This window comes from Homo sapiens, chromosome 22 (genome assembly GCF_000001405.40).
Source record: "Homo sapiens chromosome 22, GRCh38.p14 Primary Assembly".
Lineage (NCBI taxonomy): Eukaryota > Metazoa > Chordata > Mammalia > Primates > Hominidae > Homo > Homo sapiens.
Genome location: NC_000022.11, coordinates 38188009 through 38201644, shown reverse-complemented (window position 1 = coordinate 38201644; position 13636 = coordinate 38188009). Strand labels below are relative to the sequence as shown.

Sequence of the window (13636 nt, the reverse complement as noted above, 5' to 3'; positions counted from 1 at the left end):
TTGTATTTCCGGAGCGAACAGCTTCTCTGAGTTCCAGACTCATAGCCAGCTGCCCACTCTGCGCATCCAGTGGGTGTCAGATGGGCACTGCAGAGGACTCGGCCCAAAAACCCGCTCCTGATCGTCAGCCCTACCTCTGCTCCCTTGCCACCCCATCTCAGCTGCTCAAGCCAAAACCTTGGAGCCTGGCTCCATCCCTCCCTCTCCCTTCCTCCCCACCTCAGGACTCAAGCTAGCGGTGTCTCCAGGTCTCCTGCATAGGACCATTTCTCACCACCTCCAGTCATGGCACCTGGTCTCGGCACCATCAGCTTACCCGGACAATGGCAGCAGCCTCCGAGGCTCCCTACTTTGCCTCCAAAGTCTTTCTTTCTATACCAGCCAATGTTCTTCTCAAAACAAAGCTCAGGTTGTTTACACACCTTCTTTGGCCACTCTCTCCTCATCCACTGCTCTTCGGCCACAGTGCCCTTCTTTCTGTCCCCCAAACATACCAAGCTCATTCCTGCGACAGGCCCTTGGCACTGGCTGTCTGGTCTTCTGTTCACTTGCCTGACTCTTTCTCATCTTTCACGTCAGCCCGGATGTCACTGCCTCAGAGAGACATTTCCTGACCACCCTGGTTAAAGCAGTCTTCACCTCTGAATTTTTTTTTTTTTTTCGAGACAGGGTCTCACTCTGTCACCCAGGCTGGAGTGCAGTGGCACAATCTCGGCTCACTGCAACCTCCTTCTCCTGGACTCCAGCCATTCTCCCACCTTAGCCTCCCAAGTAGCTGGGACCATAAGCACACACCACCATGCTAGGTTCATTTTTTGTATTTTTTTTTTTTTTTTTTTTTTTTTTTTTTTGTAGAGACAGGGTTTTGCCATGTTGCCCAAACTGGTCTCAAACTCCTGGACTCAGGCAATCCACCCACGCTGGCCTCCCAAAGTAATGGGATTACAGGCGCAAGCCACCGCACCCAGCCTTGAAATTTGTTCTTATATTATCTTAATACTTCTGTAGGGTGTTTCATCATTTATGTATGTGAGTGCTGGTTATTGTCTGTCTTCCCCAACCAGAATGTATGTTTTATGAAGGCAGGCCTTGCTTCTTTTTCTTTTTCTTTTTTTTTTTTTGAGACAGAGTCTCACTCTGTTGCCCAGGCTGGAGTGCAGTGGCATAATCTTGGCTCACTGCAACCTCCGCCTCCCAGGTTCAAGGAATTCAGCCCCCCAGTAGCTGGACTACAGGTGAGTCACCATGCCCAGCCAGGCTGGTTTTGAACCCCTGACCTCAGGCCACCCACCTCGGCCTCCCAAAGTGTTGGGATTGCAGACATGAGCCACTGCGCCTGGCCAGGCTTATCTTGTTCACCACTGCCTGCCCAGTGCCTGGAGTAGTGCTTGGCACATAGTAGGCCCACAGTAAATACATGTTGAAGGAATACATGACTGGAGGCTCAGAGAGGTGAAGGTGACTTTCTAAATTCACTCAGCTAGGAAGTACAAGCACTGGAATTGGTATCCAGGTCTGAATGATTCCTGGCCCAGATGTTTGGGGGTACATCGCAACCAGGGGAGGAGGGCCACATAAACATGAGGGGTGTGCGCCGTGGTGGGAAGCCCCACCCAAAAGAGATGGCTTTGGAGGCCACGTGCGGGGTGGATGTTGCTGTTCATCCCCTGCTTTCCTTTGCTCATGATGTTCCCACTGCCTGAAATTCCATCGCTCCCACAGTCCCTCCTGTGAAGCCGACATCATGGCACTTACTCCACTGTGGAGGGCATAGGGCCTCTCCAAATGGGTAGGCCTCTATGTGGCACCCTGATCACCAGTAAGGATCCCCACTTTCCTTTTTTTTTTTTTTTTTTTGAGCCGGAGTCTCGCTGTGTTGCCCCAGGCTGGAGTGCAGTGGCGCGATCTCAGCTCACTGCAAGCTCCACCTCCCGGGTTCACGCCATTCTCCAGCCTCAGCCTCCCGAGTAGCTGGGACTACAGGCGCCCGCCACCGCGCCCTCCTAATTTTTTTTTTTTGTATTTTTAGTAGAGACGGGGTTTCACCGTGGTGTCGATCTCCTGACCTCGTGATCCACCCGCCTCGGCCTCCCAAAGTGCTGGGATTACACGCGTGAGCCACCGCGCCCAGCCCCCCACTTTCCTTGATGTAGCAAATTCGATTTCAGCGCCCTTGTCTTGCTTTCCTGCCTCTGTGCCTTGGTCCACCAGACACTATGGCTTCTTTCCGTTCCCTCCCACAGGCTGTGGGTTTGGTATGCAAATTGGCCCACTAGTTTCCCAAGTGACCAAATGTTGAGGCAGCTTTGTCTAGCACTCAAAAGGATCTCTAAAAACCAATTGCTCAGTCCTCTCCATGTGCATAGCAGAAAGAGCCACCTAGGTTAACCTTTGGGGTAGGAAAGTTCTCAGTTTTAGAAACTGCACAATGGTGAGTTGTCTATTTTCTCTACCCCCCACCCCCTTTAAAACCAAAACCAAAACAAAACAAAACAGGGTCTTGCCCTGTTGCCCAGGCTGGAGTGCAGTGGCATGATCATAGCTCACTGCAGCCTTGAACTTCTGGGCTCAAGCGATCCTCTCACCTCAGCCTCCCGAGTAGTTGGGACTACAAGTGTGCATCACTGTGCCTGGATAATTTTTCTATTTTTTGCAGAGATGGAGGTCTCACCATATTGCATAGGTTGATCTTGAACCCTTGGCCTCAAGCCTTCCTTCTGCCTCAGCCTCCCAATCTACTCCCTTTTTTATGAGCTTCTCAAGAGCTGGGGCCACACCTGGAACACTGTAGGTGCTCAGCTAGTGAGTGAATTCTCAGTGGACCTGAACAACACTCCTGGACACCATGCTGCCTAGATCCTTTACTCCCATCCCCAGCCTGCCAGAACAAGGGGGTCAGTGCCTCATTATCCACCCTGCAGGGACTGCTTCCCATAGACATAGCTCCCTTTCTGGTCAAGATCAAGGGCCATGGTGCAATGTCCTATTTAAAAGTGGGAGCTCAGGCTGGGCATGGTGGCTCGCACCTGTATTCTCAGCACTTTGGGAGACCGAGGCAGGAGGATCACTTGAGCCCGGAGTTTGAGACCAGCCTGGGCAATATGGCGAAATCTTGTCTCTATTAAAAAAAGAAGAGGAAGAAAAAAAAAAAAGAAATGACCATCAGGCAGCCACCATAGTAATCATGGGTTGCAGCAAGAATCACCAATGGATATGAAAGCTTGATGAGAAAGTATTTACATAGTTTCAAGTTATTTACCCACAAGATGATAATTAATTATGGAAGGAAAAATAATAACTCTGCAGTGGAGAAATTTGGCAGACACAACCTTCGCTAAGTGATCAAAGTTAATATCACCAGTAAGGGGCAAATTGCCACGGAGTTTGTAGATGAGGTAATTACTGCATGGATGCCCAACTTCCTGGCTTCAATGCTTGTCCTGTGGTCATAGAAGAGAATGTGTCCTTGATTTTAGGAAATATACACTGGAGTATTTATTTATTTATTTATTTATTTATTTTTTTGAGATGGAGTCTTGCTCTGTCACCCAGGCTGGAGTGCAATGGTGCGACCTTGGCTCACTGCAACCTCTGCCTCCTGGGTTCAAGTGATTCTCCTGCCTCAGCCTCCTGAGTAGCTGGGATTACAGGCACCCACCATCATGCCCGGCTAAATTTTGTATTTTTGTAGAGACGGGGGTTTCACCATGTTGGCCAGGCTAGTCTTGAACTCCTGACCTCAGGTCATCTGTCTGCCTCGGCCTCCTGAAGAGCTGGGATTACAGGTGTGAGCCACCGTGCCTGGCCCACTAGAGTATTTAGAGGTAAAAGGCATCATGTTTGCAATTTACTCTGACATGGTTCTGAAAATAATACATATAGATAGATAGTGTTATGGGTGGAATTTCATAATGTTAAAATGTGTATGTTGAAGTCCTAATGCCTAAAAATCTCAGAATGTGACTGTATTTGGAGATAAAGTTTTAAAAGGCATAAGTAAATTAAAATATATACGGTAGGCCCTAATCCAATCTGACCAGTGTCCTTATAAGAAAAGAAAATTTGGCCAGGCGCAGTGTAATCCCAGCACGTTGGGACGCCAAGGCAGGCAGATCACTTGAGGTCAGGAGTTTGAGACCAGCCTGGCCAACATGCAAAACCCTGTCTCTACTTAATTAAAAAAAAAAAAATTAGTCGGGAGTTGTGGCACATGCCTATAATCCTAGCTACTCAGGAGGCTGAGGCAGGAGAATTGCTTGAACCTGGGAGGCAGAGGTTGCAGTGAGCCGAGATCACGCCATTGCACTCCAGCCTGGGCGACAGAGCGAGACTGTCTCAAAAAAAAAATTGTTTTTTGAAAGTAGGGACTCTCAAGTCAGCCTGTCGGGTTCAGATCCTGGCCCCACGCCTCATCAGCTGACGTCATCTCCACCCTCTATAAACCGGGCTAATAGTGCCTCCTTTGCAGGCTGTGAAACAACATAATGTGTTTGCACTTATAAGCCTCTGGCACAGCGCTTAGTATATAATAAAAGATCAATAATATCAGGTTAGAGAGAGGAGTCCTCTACAGCAGGGGTCCCCAAATCGCAGGCTGAGGACCAGTACTGTTTGTCCGTGGCCTGTTAGGAACCAGCGGGCTGAGTGAGCGTCACCGCCTGAGCTCCGCCTCCTGTAGGATCAGCACTGGCATTGGAGTCTCATTAGGAGCGTGAACCCTATTGTGAACTGCGCTTTTGAGGGATCCAGGTTGTGTGCTCCTTGTGAGAATCTAACTACGGCCAGATATGCCTGATGACCTGAGGTGGAACAGTTTCTTTTTTTTTTTTTTTTTTTGGAGAGAGTCTCGCTCTATCCCCCAGGCTGGAGTGCAGTGTAGCCATCTTGGCTCACTGCAACCTCCGCCTTTTGGGTTCAACTGATTCTCCCACCTCAGCCTCCCCCAAGTAGCTGGGACTACAGGCACGCGCCACCACGCCCATCTAATTTTTGTATTTTTAGTAGAGACGGGGTTTCACCATGTTGGCCAGGCTGGTCTCAAACTCCTGACCTCAGGTGATCTGCCCCGCTCAGCCTCCCAAAGTGCTGGGATTACAGGCGTGAGCCACCGCGCCTGGCCACTGGAACAGTTTCATCCCGAAACCATCCCCCACCCACACTCCCCACTCTCCACCCCCACCCCACCCTCATCTGTGGAAAAGTTGTCTTCTACGAAATGGTCCCTGGTGTCAAAAGCAGAGGAAATGGACAGAGTGATCAGTTCGCCCAGAGGCCAAGGGACCACACCCTGGATGCCAGGTGTGGTGCTCCCGTGTATCAGGTCACACTCAATCCTCTCCATGTCTTAGCACTTAGCTATTATCATGGCCATGTTGCAGATGAGGAAATCGAGACCGTGGCAGGTGAGGAATCTTGCCCAGTATTGCACAGCTAGTCCCTGGCAGAGAAGGACTTAAACTCAGGCTGGTCCGACTCGAGGGCTGCGCTCTCTCCTGCTGCCCCCGCCGGAATGATTTGCTGGGTTTTGTTCTGGAGAGATTCGATATTTCACGTGGGCCACTTCAGAGTCTGACGATAATTAGAGCACACGCCATTTCTCCGCGTGGGCACCCCCGGGTGGGATCCTGGAGGAACCTTGTGCCCTCCTCCCCTTCTTCCTCCTCTTCCCTTCCCTCTACTTTGTCAATCCTAAGGCAAACCGGGCAGGGCCTGGCAGAGGGTGACTCTTGACCAGGGCCACTTTCTGCAAATACAAGGGTCCTGAGTCTGGGCTGGAGATGTGATTGTTCAGCAGAGAGAAAAAAGGTTTGAGCAAACCCAAACAATTGGGCCGGGCGCAGTGGCTCATGCCTGTAATCCCAGCATGTTGGGAGGCCAAGGTGGATCACTTGAGGCCAGGAGTTCGAGACCAGCCTGGCCAACATGGTGAAACTCTCGTCTCTACTAAAAAATACAACAATTAGCCCAGTGTGGTGGCATGCGCCTGTAGCCCCAGCTACTCCGGAGGTTAAGGCAGGAGAATCGCTTGAACCCAGGAGGCGGAGGTTGCAGTGAGCTGAGATCTCACCACTGCACTCCAGCCTGGGCGACAGAGCAAGACTGTCTCAAAAAATAAAAATAAAAATAAATCCAAGCAACCCCAGTACCTACTGTTACTGTTTTTGTTTTGAGACGGAGTCTTGCTCTGTCACCCAGGCTGGAGGGCAGTGGCCCGATCTCGGCTCACTGCAAGCTCCACCTCCCGGGTTCCCGCCATTCTCCTGCCTCAGCCTCCCAAGTAGCTGGGACTACAGGCGTATTATTGCTTATGAATCACATTTATGTGCCTAAGAGCTGTCATCTCACAAAATTCTATGAAGTATCTGTATCATCCCCACTTTATAGATGAGGAAACCGAGGCTAGGAGGGCTGAAGCCATTTGCTAAGGGCCCTTCCCACCCACATGTGAATATGAACCTTTCGTCTCCACTTCACCAACACTGGGAGTTTTCATTGTCTAAGCTCTGCTAATTTCCTAGGCAAATGACGTTATTGTATTTAAATTTGCATTTCTCTGAATAGGAATGAGCTTGAACACATTCCCATTTGCTTGTTAACCAGTTGGGTTTTTTCTTCTTTTGTTCGTGTGCTTTGCCTATTTTAGAGAATACATTTTTATGTTTGCAAACTGATATTTTAGGAACCTGAAACAGTACTGCACATGCTCCATTTTTCCCCAGCCCTCCATCATTTTCCCTCTAAAACCTCCCCCCCCTCCCCACCCCCAGCAGCTTCAATATACCTGGAGATGTGCCAGCCCTGGTCTGAGTCCTTTTGTGCCAAGCCTGTAAAACCATCGCTGGGGCACTGCTGCTCCGTGCACTTCACTCCTGCATGCCAGCTGCTCTGGCTTCTGGAGAGAAGCCACCATCGCGACCACAACCACCACTGCAACAACAGCTGCGGTCACGACAAGGTCATCTTCTCCAGTCACAGCCAGATCCTCAGAGCTGCCAGGAATCCCTGGAGTACTCGCCTTTCTCCTTCATCCGCAGGCCTTCATCCTCATCTCCATCGAACCTGCTCTCCTGCCACTTCCAGAGGAAGCAGAGGCCATGTGATAGGCACTGCCTCGACCCTCTGCACCTGCCCTTCCCTCTCCCTCCCAGTCCCTTCAGAGGCTGTCCTTTGTCTTGCCCTAAACCTACCTCTCCTCCTTCCAGAATCCCCATGCCCACACCCCAGTCCCCATCCCCTCCCTCTGAAGCAAATGGCTTCAGCCCTCCTAGCCTCGGTTTCCTCATCTATAAAGTGGGGGTGATACAGATACTTCATAGAATTTTGGGAGATGACAGCTCTTAGGCACATCAACGAGATTCATAAACAATAATAACAGTAGGTACTGGGGTCGTCTGGATTTTTTTTTTTTTTTTTTACTGAGACAGTCTCGCCCCGTTGCCCAGGCTGGAGTGCAGTGGCAAGATCTCAGCTCACTGTAACCTCTGCCTCCTGGGTTCAAGTGATTCTCCTGCCTCAGCCTTCTAAGTAGTTGGGGCTACAGGCACCTGCCACCACACTGGAGATGGGACTGAAATGTCTCCAAGTGGCTGTCATCTCTAGCAGCCACCCCTGAACCCCACCTTTCACTCCACCCTCACCCTAACACCCACCCTTGTTTTTTCTTCCCTTTGTGGGCAAACCTCAAGTCATCCCCACTCATTGCCTCTGGGTTCTCACTGCCTCTCATTCCCAATCCCTCACGGGCTGAGGGCTGCCCTCAAGAAACCTCTGAAGGGACTCTGGCCGGGGTCCCAGTGGCCTCTTTGTTACTAAATCCAGGTCCAATTTTAGCCCTAATCTGTCTTGACCTTTGACAGCATGCAATGGTGTTGCAATCTCCCTTCCTTTTAATTTTTTTCCTCTTTTTTTTTGAAATGGAGTCTTGCTTTGTCATCAAGGGTGGAGTGCAGTGTCACCATCTCGGCTCACTGCAATCTCTGCGTCCTGGGTTCAAGCGATTCTCCTGCCTCAGCCTCCTGAGTAGCTGGAATTATAGGTGCCTGCCACCACGACCAGCTAATTTTTTTTTTTTTTTTTGAGACAGAGTCTCGCTCTGTCACCCAGGCTGGAGTGCAGTGGCGTGATCTCAGCAAGTTCTGCTTCCTGGGTTCACGCCATTCTCTTGCCTCAGCCTCCCAAGTAGCTGGGACTACAGGCCCCCGCCACCACGCCCGGCTAATTTTTTGTATTTTTAGTAGAGACGGGGTTTCACCGTGTTAGCCAGGATGGTCTCGATCTCCTGACCTCACGATCCACCCGCCTCAGCCTCCCAAAGTGTTGGGATTACAGGCGTGAGCCACTGCACCCGGCATTTTTGTATTTCTAGTAGAGACAGGGTTTCACCATGTTGGCCAGGCTGGTCTCGAACTCCTGACCTCAGGTGATCCACCCACCTCGGCCTCCCAAAGTGCTGGGATTACAGGCATGAGCTACTGTGCCCGGCCTATTCTTCCCCTCTTTTTGGAAACACTGTTTTCTCCTTGGTGTTTTTGTCTTTGTTTTGAGACAGGGTCTCCCTCCCTTGCCCAGGCTGGAGTGCAGTAGTGCCATCATAGCTCACTGTAACCTTGAACTCCTGGGCTCCAGCCATCCTCCCGTCTCAGCCTCCCGAATAGCTGGGGTTACAGGCATGCAGCCACATGCCTACCTCCCCTTGCCTTCTAAAGCTCAGATTTCCCTCCTATCTTTTCAGCTTTCATCCCTGGCCCTCCATCTTGGCCTCTTAATTCTTAGCGAGGCTCAGAGCTTTAGCCTTTGCCCTCTTTTCTTATTGCTGGGGAACCTTATCCCTACCTCAAGATTTCAGGTGCCACCTGATGTTGAGGACTCCCAGATCTCTATTTTGGGCTCCCAGCTGTCTCTCATGGACCAGATCTGCTTAAGCAACTGCATGGATGACATGTATTTTCCCCTGCCCTTCCCTGGCACGTCTAACTCCACGTTGTCTCAGTGGAGCTTAGCGCCACCCTCCCCACCTAATTTCTCCAACAGGTTGATGATGCCACCTCCTCCCCAGTCACCCTGGAGAGAAACCAGGCCATCATGCTCACCTCACCCTCTCCCTCCCTCCCACAGCAAACAAGTCACCAGGCTTCAGTGATCTCATCTCCTTAACTTCTCTCCAGCCTCTCTCTTCCCTCAGCCATGGCCTCTGTTCAAGCCACAGCACCTGGCTCCAGGACAATTGCAGCAGCCTTCTGCCTGGTCCCCCTGCCTCTAGCCTCCATGCAGAGGATAGAGAGAGCTTTCTAAAACCTAAACTTGGCCAGGCTACTGCTCTGCTCACAACCCTTCCATGGCTCCCCAGTGCTGTCAGGACAAAGTGTAAACTCTTTCCATAAGCCTCCTCGATCTGGCCTCTGCCTGCTTCCACCACCTCCTCTCAGCTGCAGCCACCGTGAACTCTGTCCTCATACCCATCATTCTCTTCTACTGCCTCGTGCTTTCAATCTTCCCAGTCCTTCTTCCTGGAACTCCCTCCCCGGCTTGTGCTTCAGTCCCCAGCTCAGATGCCACTTTGTTCAGCAGGCTTCCCAGATCATCCCCAGGCTGACTCAGGTTCCTGTGTACAAGGTAGGAAACCTACCAGTGTATCCCTCATGATAGCACTTTCCTCTCTGACTCGGTGTTCTGTGTCTTCATGGCTGTCTTCTCTTAACCCACATGCTTTTTGAGGACCAGGATTACATCCTTTCATTTTTGTGTCTCCAGAGCTTTGCCCGGGCCATGGCACATAGCAGAAGCATGATCAATGTTTTTCTTTCTTCTTTTCTTTTTTTCTGAGACACAGTCCTGCACTGTCACCCAGGCTGGAGTGCAGTGTCGTGATCTCGGCTCACTGCAACCTCTGCCTCCTGAGTTCACGCGATTCTCACGCCTCAGCCGCCCAAGTAGCTGGGATGACAGGCGTGCATCGCCACGCCTGGTTAATTTTTTTTTTTGTATTTTTTATTTTAGTAGAGATGGGGTTTCACTCTGTTGGCTAGGCTGGCCTCGAACTCCTGGCCTCAATGATTTGCCTGCCTCAGCTTCCCAAAGTACTGGGATTACAGGCGTGAGCCACCATGCCCTGCCTAGGCCACCGTGCCTACGCTGGGAGCATGATGAATGTTAATGGGATGAATGGAGGAGTTGTCCTTGTTCCACTGGGCCTTGTCCTAGGCTCAAGCAAGAGGGTCAGGCTGTGGCGAGACAGGGAGGAAGGAAGAGAGTATCATTAGTTTCTAAGAACAGGGGTCCCTAACCCCTGGTCTGGGTCGATGGCCTGTTAGGAACTCGGCTGCACGGCAGGAGGTGAGCGGCGGGCGGGTGAGCGAGTGAAGCTTCATCGATATTTACAGCATATTTACAGCCGCTGCCCATTGCTCACTCACATTGCCACCTGAGCTCCACTTTCTCTCAGATCAGCGGCGGCATTGGATTCTCATAGGAGCTCAAACCCTATTGTGACTTCGCATGCGAAGGATCTAGGTTTTGCATTCCTTATGAGAATATGATGATCTGTCTGCCTGATGATCTGTCACTGTCTCCCATCACCCCCAGATGGGACCATCTAGTTGCAGGAAAACCAGCTCAGGGCTCCCACTGATTCTACATTGTGATGAGTTGTATAATTATTTCATTATGTATTACAATGTAATAATAATAGAAGTAAAATGCACAATCAATGTAATGGACTTGGATCATTCCCAAACCATCCCCCGGCTCCGTGGAAAAACTGTCTTCCACAAAACCAGTCCCTGGTGCCAAAAAGGTTGGGGACCTCGGTCCTACAATGTCCTTTGGCTCCCTGACAGTGGGGACTGTGTTTATATCACTGATTGCCCTCATGCCCTGTGTAACGCTATGGCAGGGCAGCCAAACACGGATTGATTCTCTGGAGATCCCTGCAATTCCGTTTCATTACCATTGCATCCTGGGGGCACAGTGATTCAGCCTACTCATGAATGTGTGATTTGCAGTAGAATTTCAGGAGCCCCTGGGACATAAAAGAGGATTATCAGGGCTGGGTGTGGTGGCTCACACCTGTAATACCAGGACTTTGGGAGGCCAAGGCAGGAGGATTGCTTGAGCCCAGGAGTTCAAGACCAGCTGGGGCAACATAGCAAGCCCCATCTCTACAAAAAAAATTTTTTTAAATTAACCAGGTGTGGTGGTGCTCTCCTGTGGTTCCAGCTACTTGGGAGGCTGAGGTGGGAGGATTGCTTGGGCCCAGGAAATGGAGGGTGCAGTGAGCCACGTTTGAGCCACTGCACTCCAGCCTGGGTGACAAAGCAAGACTCTGTCTCAAAAAAAAAAAAAAAAAAGGTAGGGGCTGGGCACAGTGGCTCACCCCTGTAATCCCAGCACTTTGAGAGGCTGAGGTAAGCAGATAGCTTGAGGTCAGGAGTTCAAGACCAGCCTGGCCAACATGATGAAACCCCATCTCTACTAAAAATACAAAAATTAGCTGGGCTTGGTGGTGGGCGCCTGTAATTCCAGCTACTCGGGGAGGCAGAGGCAGGAGAATCGCTCGAACCCGGGAAGTGGAGGTTGCAGAGAGCCGAGATCATGCCACTGTACTCCGGCCTCGGCGATGGAGCAAGACTCTATCTCAAAACAATAAAAAATAAATAAAAAGTATTTTGGGGTGATACACACATTCAGACCATAGAACATGCGATGATATGGAAAAATATATTTGCCTTTATATTCCAGTGCTTTTTCACAATAAACTATTATCTGTATATCTGAGACAAGTTTGTATTAAATTGTGAGCCCCAAGGACAAGAATAGAGATGTCTTTAGTGTCCCCACCATACTAAGAGTAAGGCCGGCCAGGCATGGTGGCTCATGCCAGTAATCCCAACACTTTGAAGGCCGAGGTGGGCGGATCATGAGGTCAAGAGATTGAGACCATCCTGGCCAACATGGTGAAACCCCGTCTCTACTAAAAATACAAAAATTAGCCGGGTGTGGTGGCACGCGCCTGTAGTCCCAGCTGCTCAGGAGGCTGAGGCAGGGGAATCTCTTGAACCCAGGAGGCAGAGGTTGCAATGAGCTGAGATCGCGCCACTGCACTCCAGCCTGGCAACAAAGCGAGACTTTGAGTCAAAAAGAAGAAAAGAAAAGAAAAAGAGTAAGGTCATGCACATAGCAGGTATTTCATAATTAATGGCTGACAAAACATAAATGAGGACGAGAAGCACAAGAGAAGGGACAAAGGGATTAAGAGCTTGCACACTCTGACCCTCAAGAACTCCACATTAGATTCCCCCATCGTGAGAGGCTTGGCACACACCCTGCATCTTTGCCTGAAATACCCCTGCTCAGCCTCTCCAAATCCTCATGTCCTTCGCCATCCTTCACCATCCCTCACCATCCCTAACCATCCCCCACCATCCCTCTCCATCCCTCTCCATCCCCCACCATCCCTCACCATCCCTCACCATCCCTCACCATCCCTCTCCATCCCCCACCATCCCTCACCATCCCTCACCATCCCTCACCATCCCTCTCCATCCCCCACCATCCCCCACCATCCCCCACCATCCCTCTCCATCCCTCTCCATCCCCCACCATCCCCCACCATCCCTCTCCATCCCTCATTATCCCTATCCATTCCTCTCCATCCCTCTCCACCCTTCTCCATCCTTCACCATCCTTCAGGACTCAGGTTTAAGCCAGCTTCCTTGTGAAGCTCCCTGGTTCCCTGTTCCTGAGAACCAGCTTCTCCTCAGCCCGCAGTCTGTCCTGTGAACCCCTGAGCTGGGCTGAGGTCCCCCCAGAGTAGGGAAATCCTGCCCTTCCTGACCAGGCCTGGCTTTTGCCCTTGGGATGGGAACACACTTGGCTGCTGCCTCACAGCTCAGGGTCACCTCCTGAGGAGCCCACTTCCCTCCTGTGGAGGGCACAAGCCCTGATGTCCCACTCAGCAAGTCAGAAGCCATGTAATTAGCATCATCATGCACAGCTGCCGTGTGGGCTCCGCACCCTCCCATCACCTCTCCCAAGGCAGCAGAAGGATTTTTCCACATTGCTTCCTGGCCCCAACCTTCCAGGGCACCCACTGCTTGTGGGACAAGGTCTGCATCCTTGGCCTGGAACTCAAAACTCTTTCTTTTTTTTTCTTTTATATATATTTTTTGAGACGGAGTCTCGCTCTGTTGCCCAGGCTGGAGTGCAGTGGCATGATGTCAGCTCACTGTAACCTCCGCCTCCCGGGTTCAGGCGATTCTCGTGCCTCAGCGTCCCAAGTAGAGTAGCTGGGACTACAGGCACCCGCCACCACGCCCAGCTAATTTTTTGTAGCTTTAGTAGATACAGGAGTTTCACCATGTTGCCCAGCTGGTCACAAACTACTGACCTCAAGTGATCTGCCTGCCTAGCCTCCCAAAGTGTTGGGATTACAGGCGTGAGCCACCGCACCAGCCCTTTTTTTCTTATTTTGAGACAGGGTCTCACTAAGTTGCCCAGGCTGGAGTGCAGTGGCACAATCATAGCTTACTACAACCTCCCTTCCCTTGGGAGGCTGGGGCTCAAGCAATCCTCCTGCCCCAGCCTTCTGAAGTAGCTGGGACTACAGGCATGCACCACCATGCCTGGCTAATTTTTAAAA

The 13636-nt window shown here is 51.0% G+C and overlaps 1 annotated feature.

Moving 5' to 3' along the window:
- Positions 2514-2563: an enhancer, noted in NCBI's record as "active region_18999". NCBI's record gives its function as "activates an Ori minimal core promoter by ATAC-STARR-seq in GM12878 lymphoblastoid cells {active_cell/tissue: GM12878}" and the evidence as "EXISTENCE:reporter gene assay evidence [ECO:0000049][PMID:35858748]".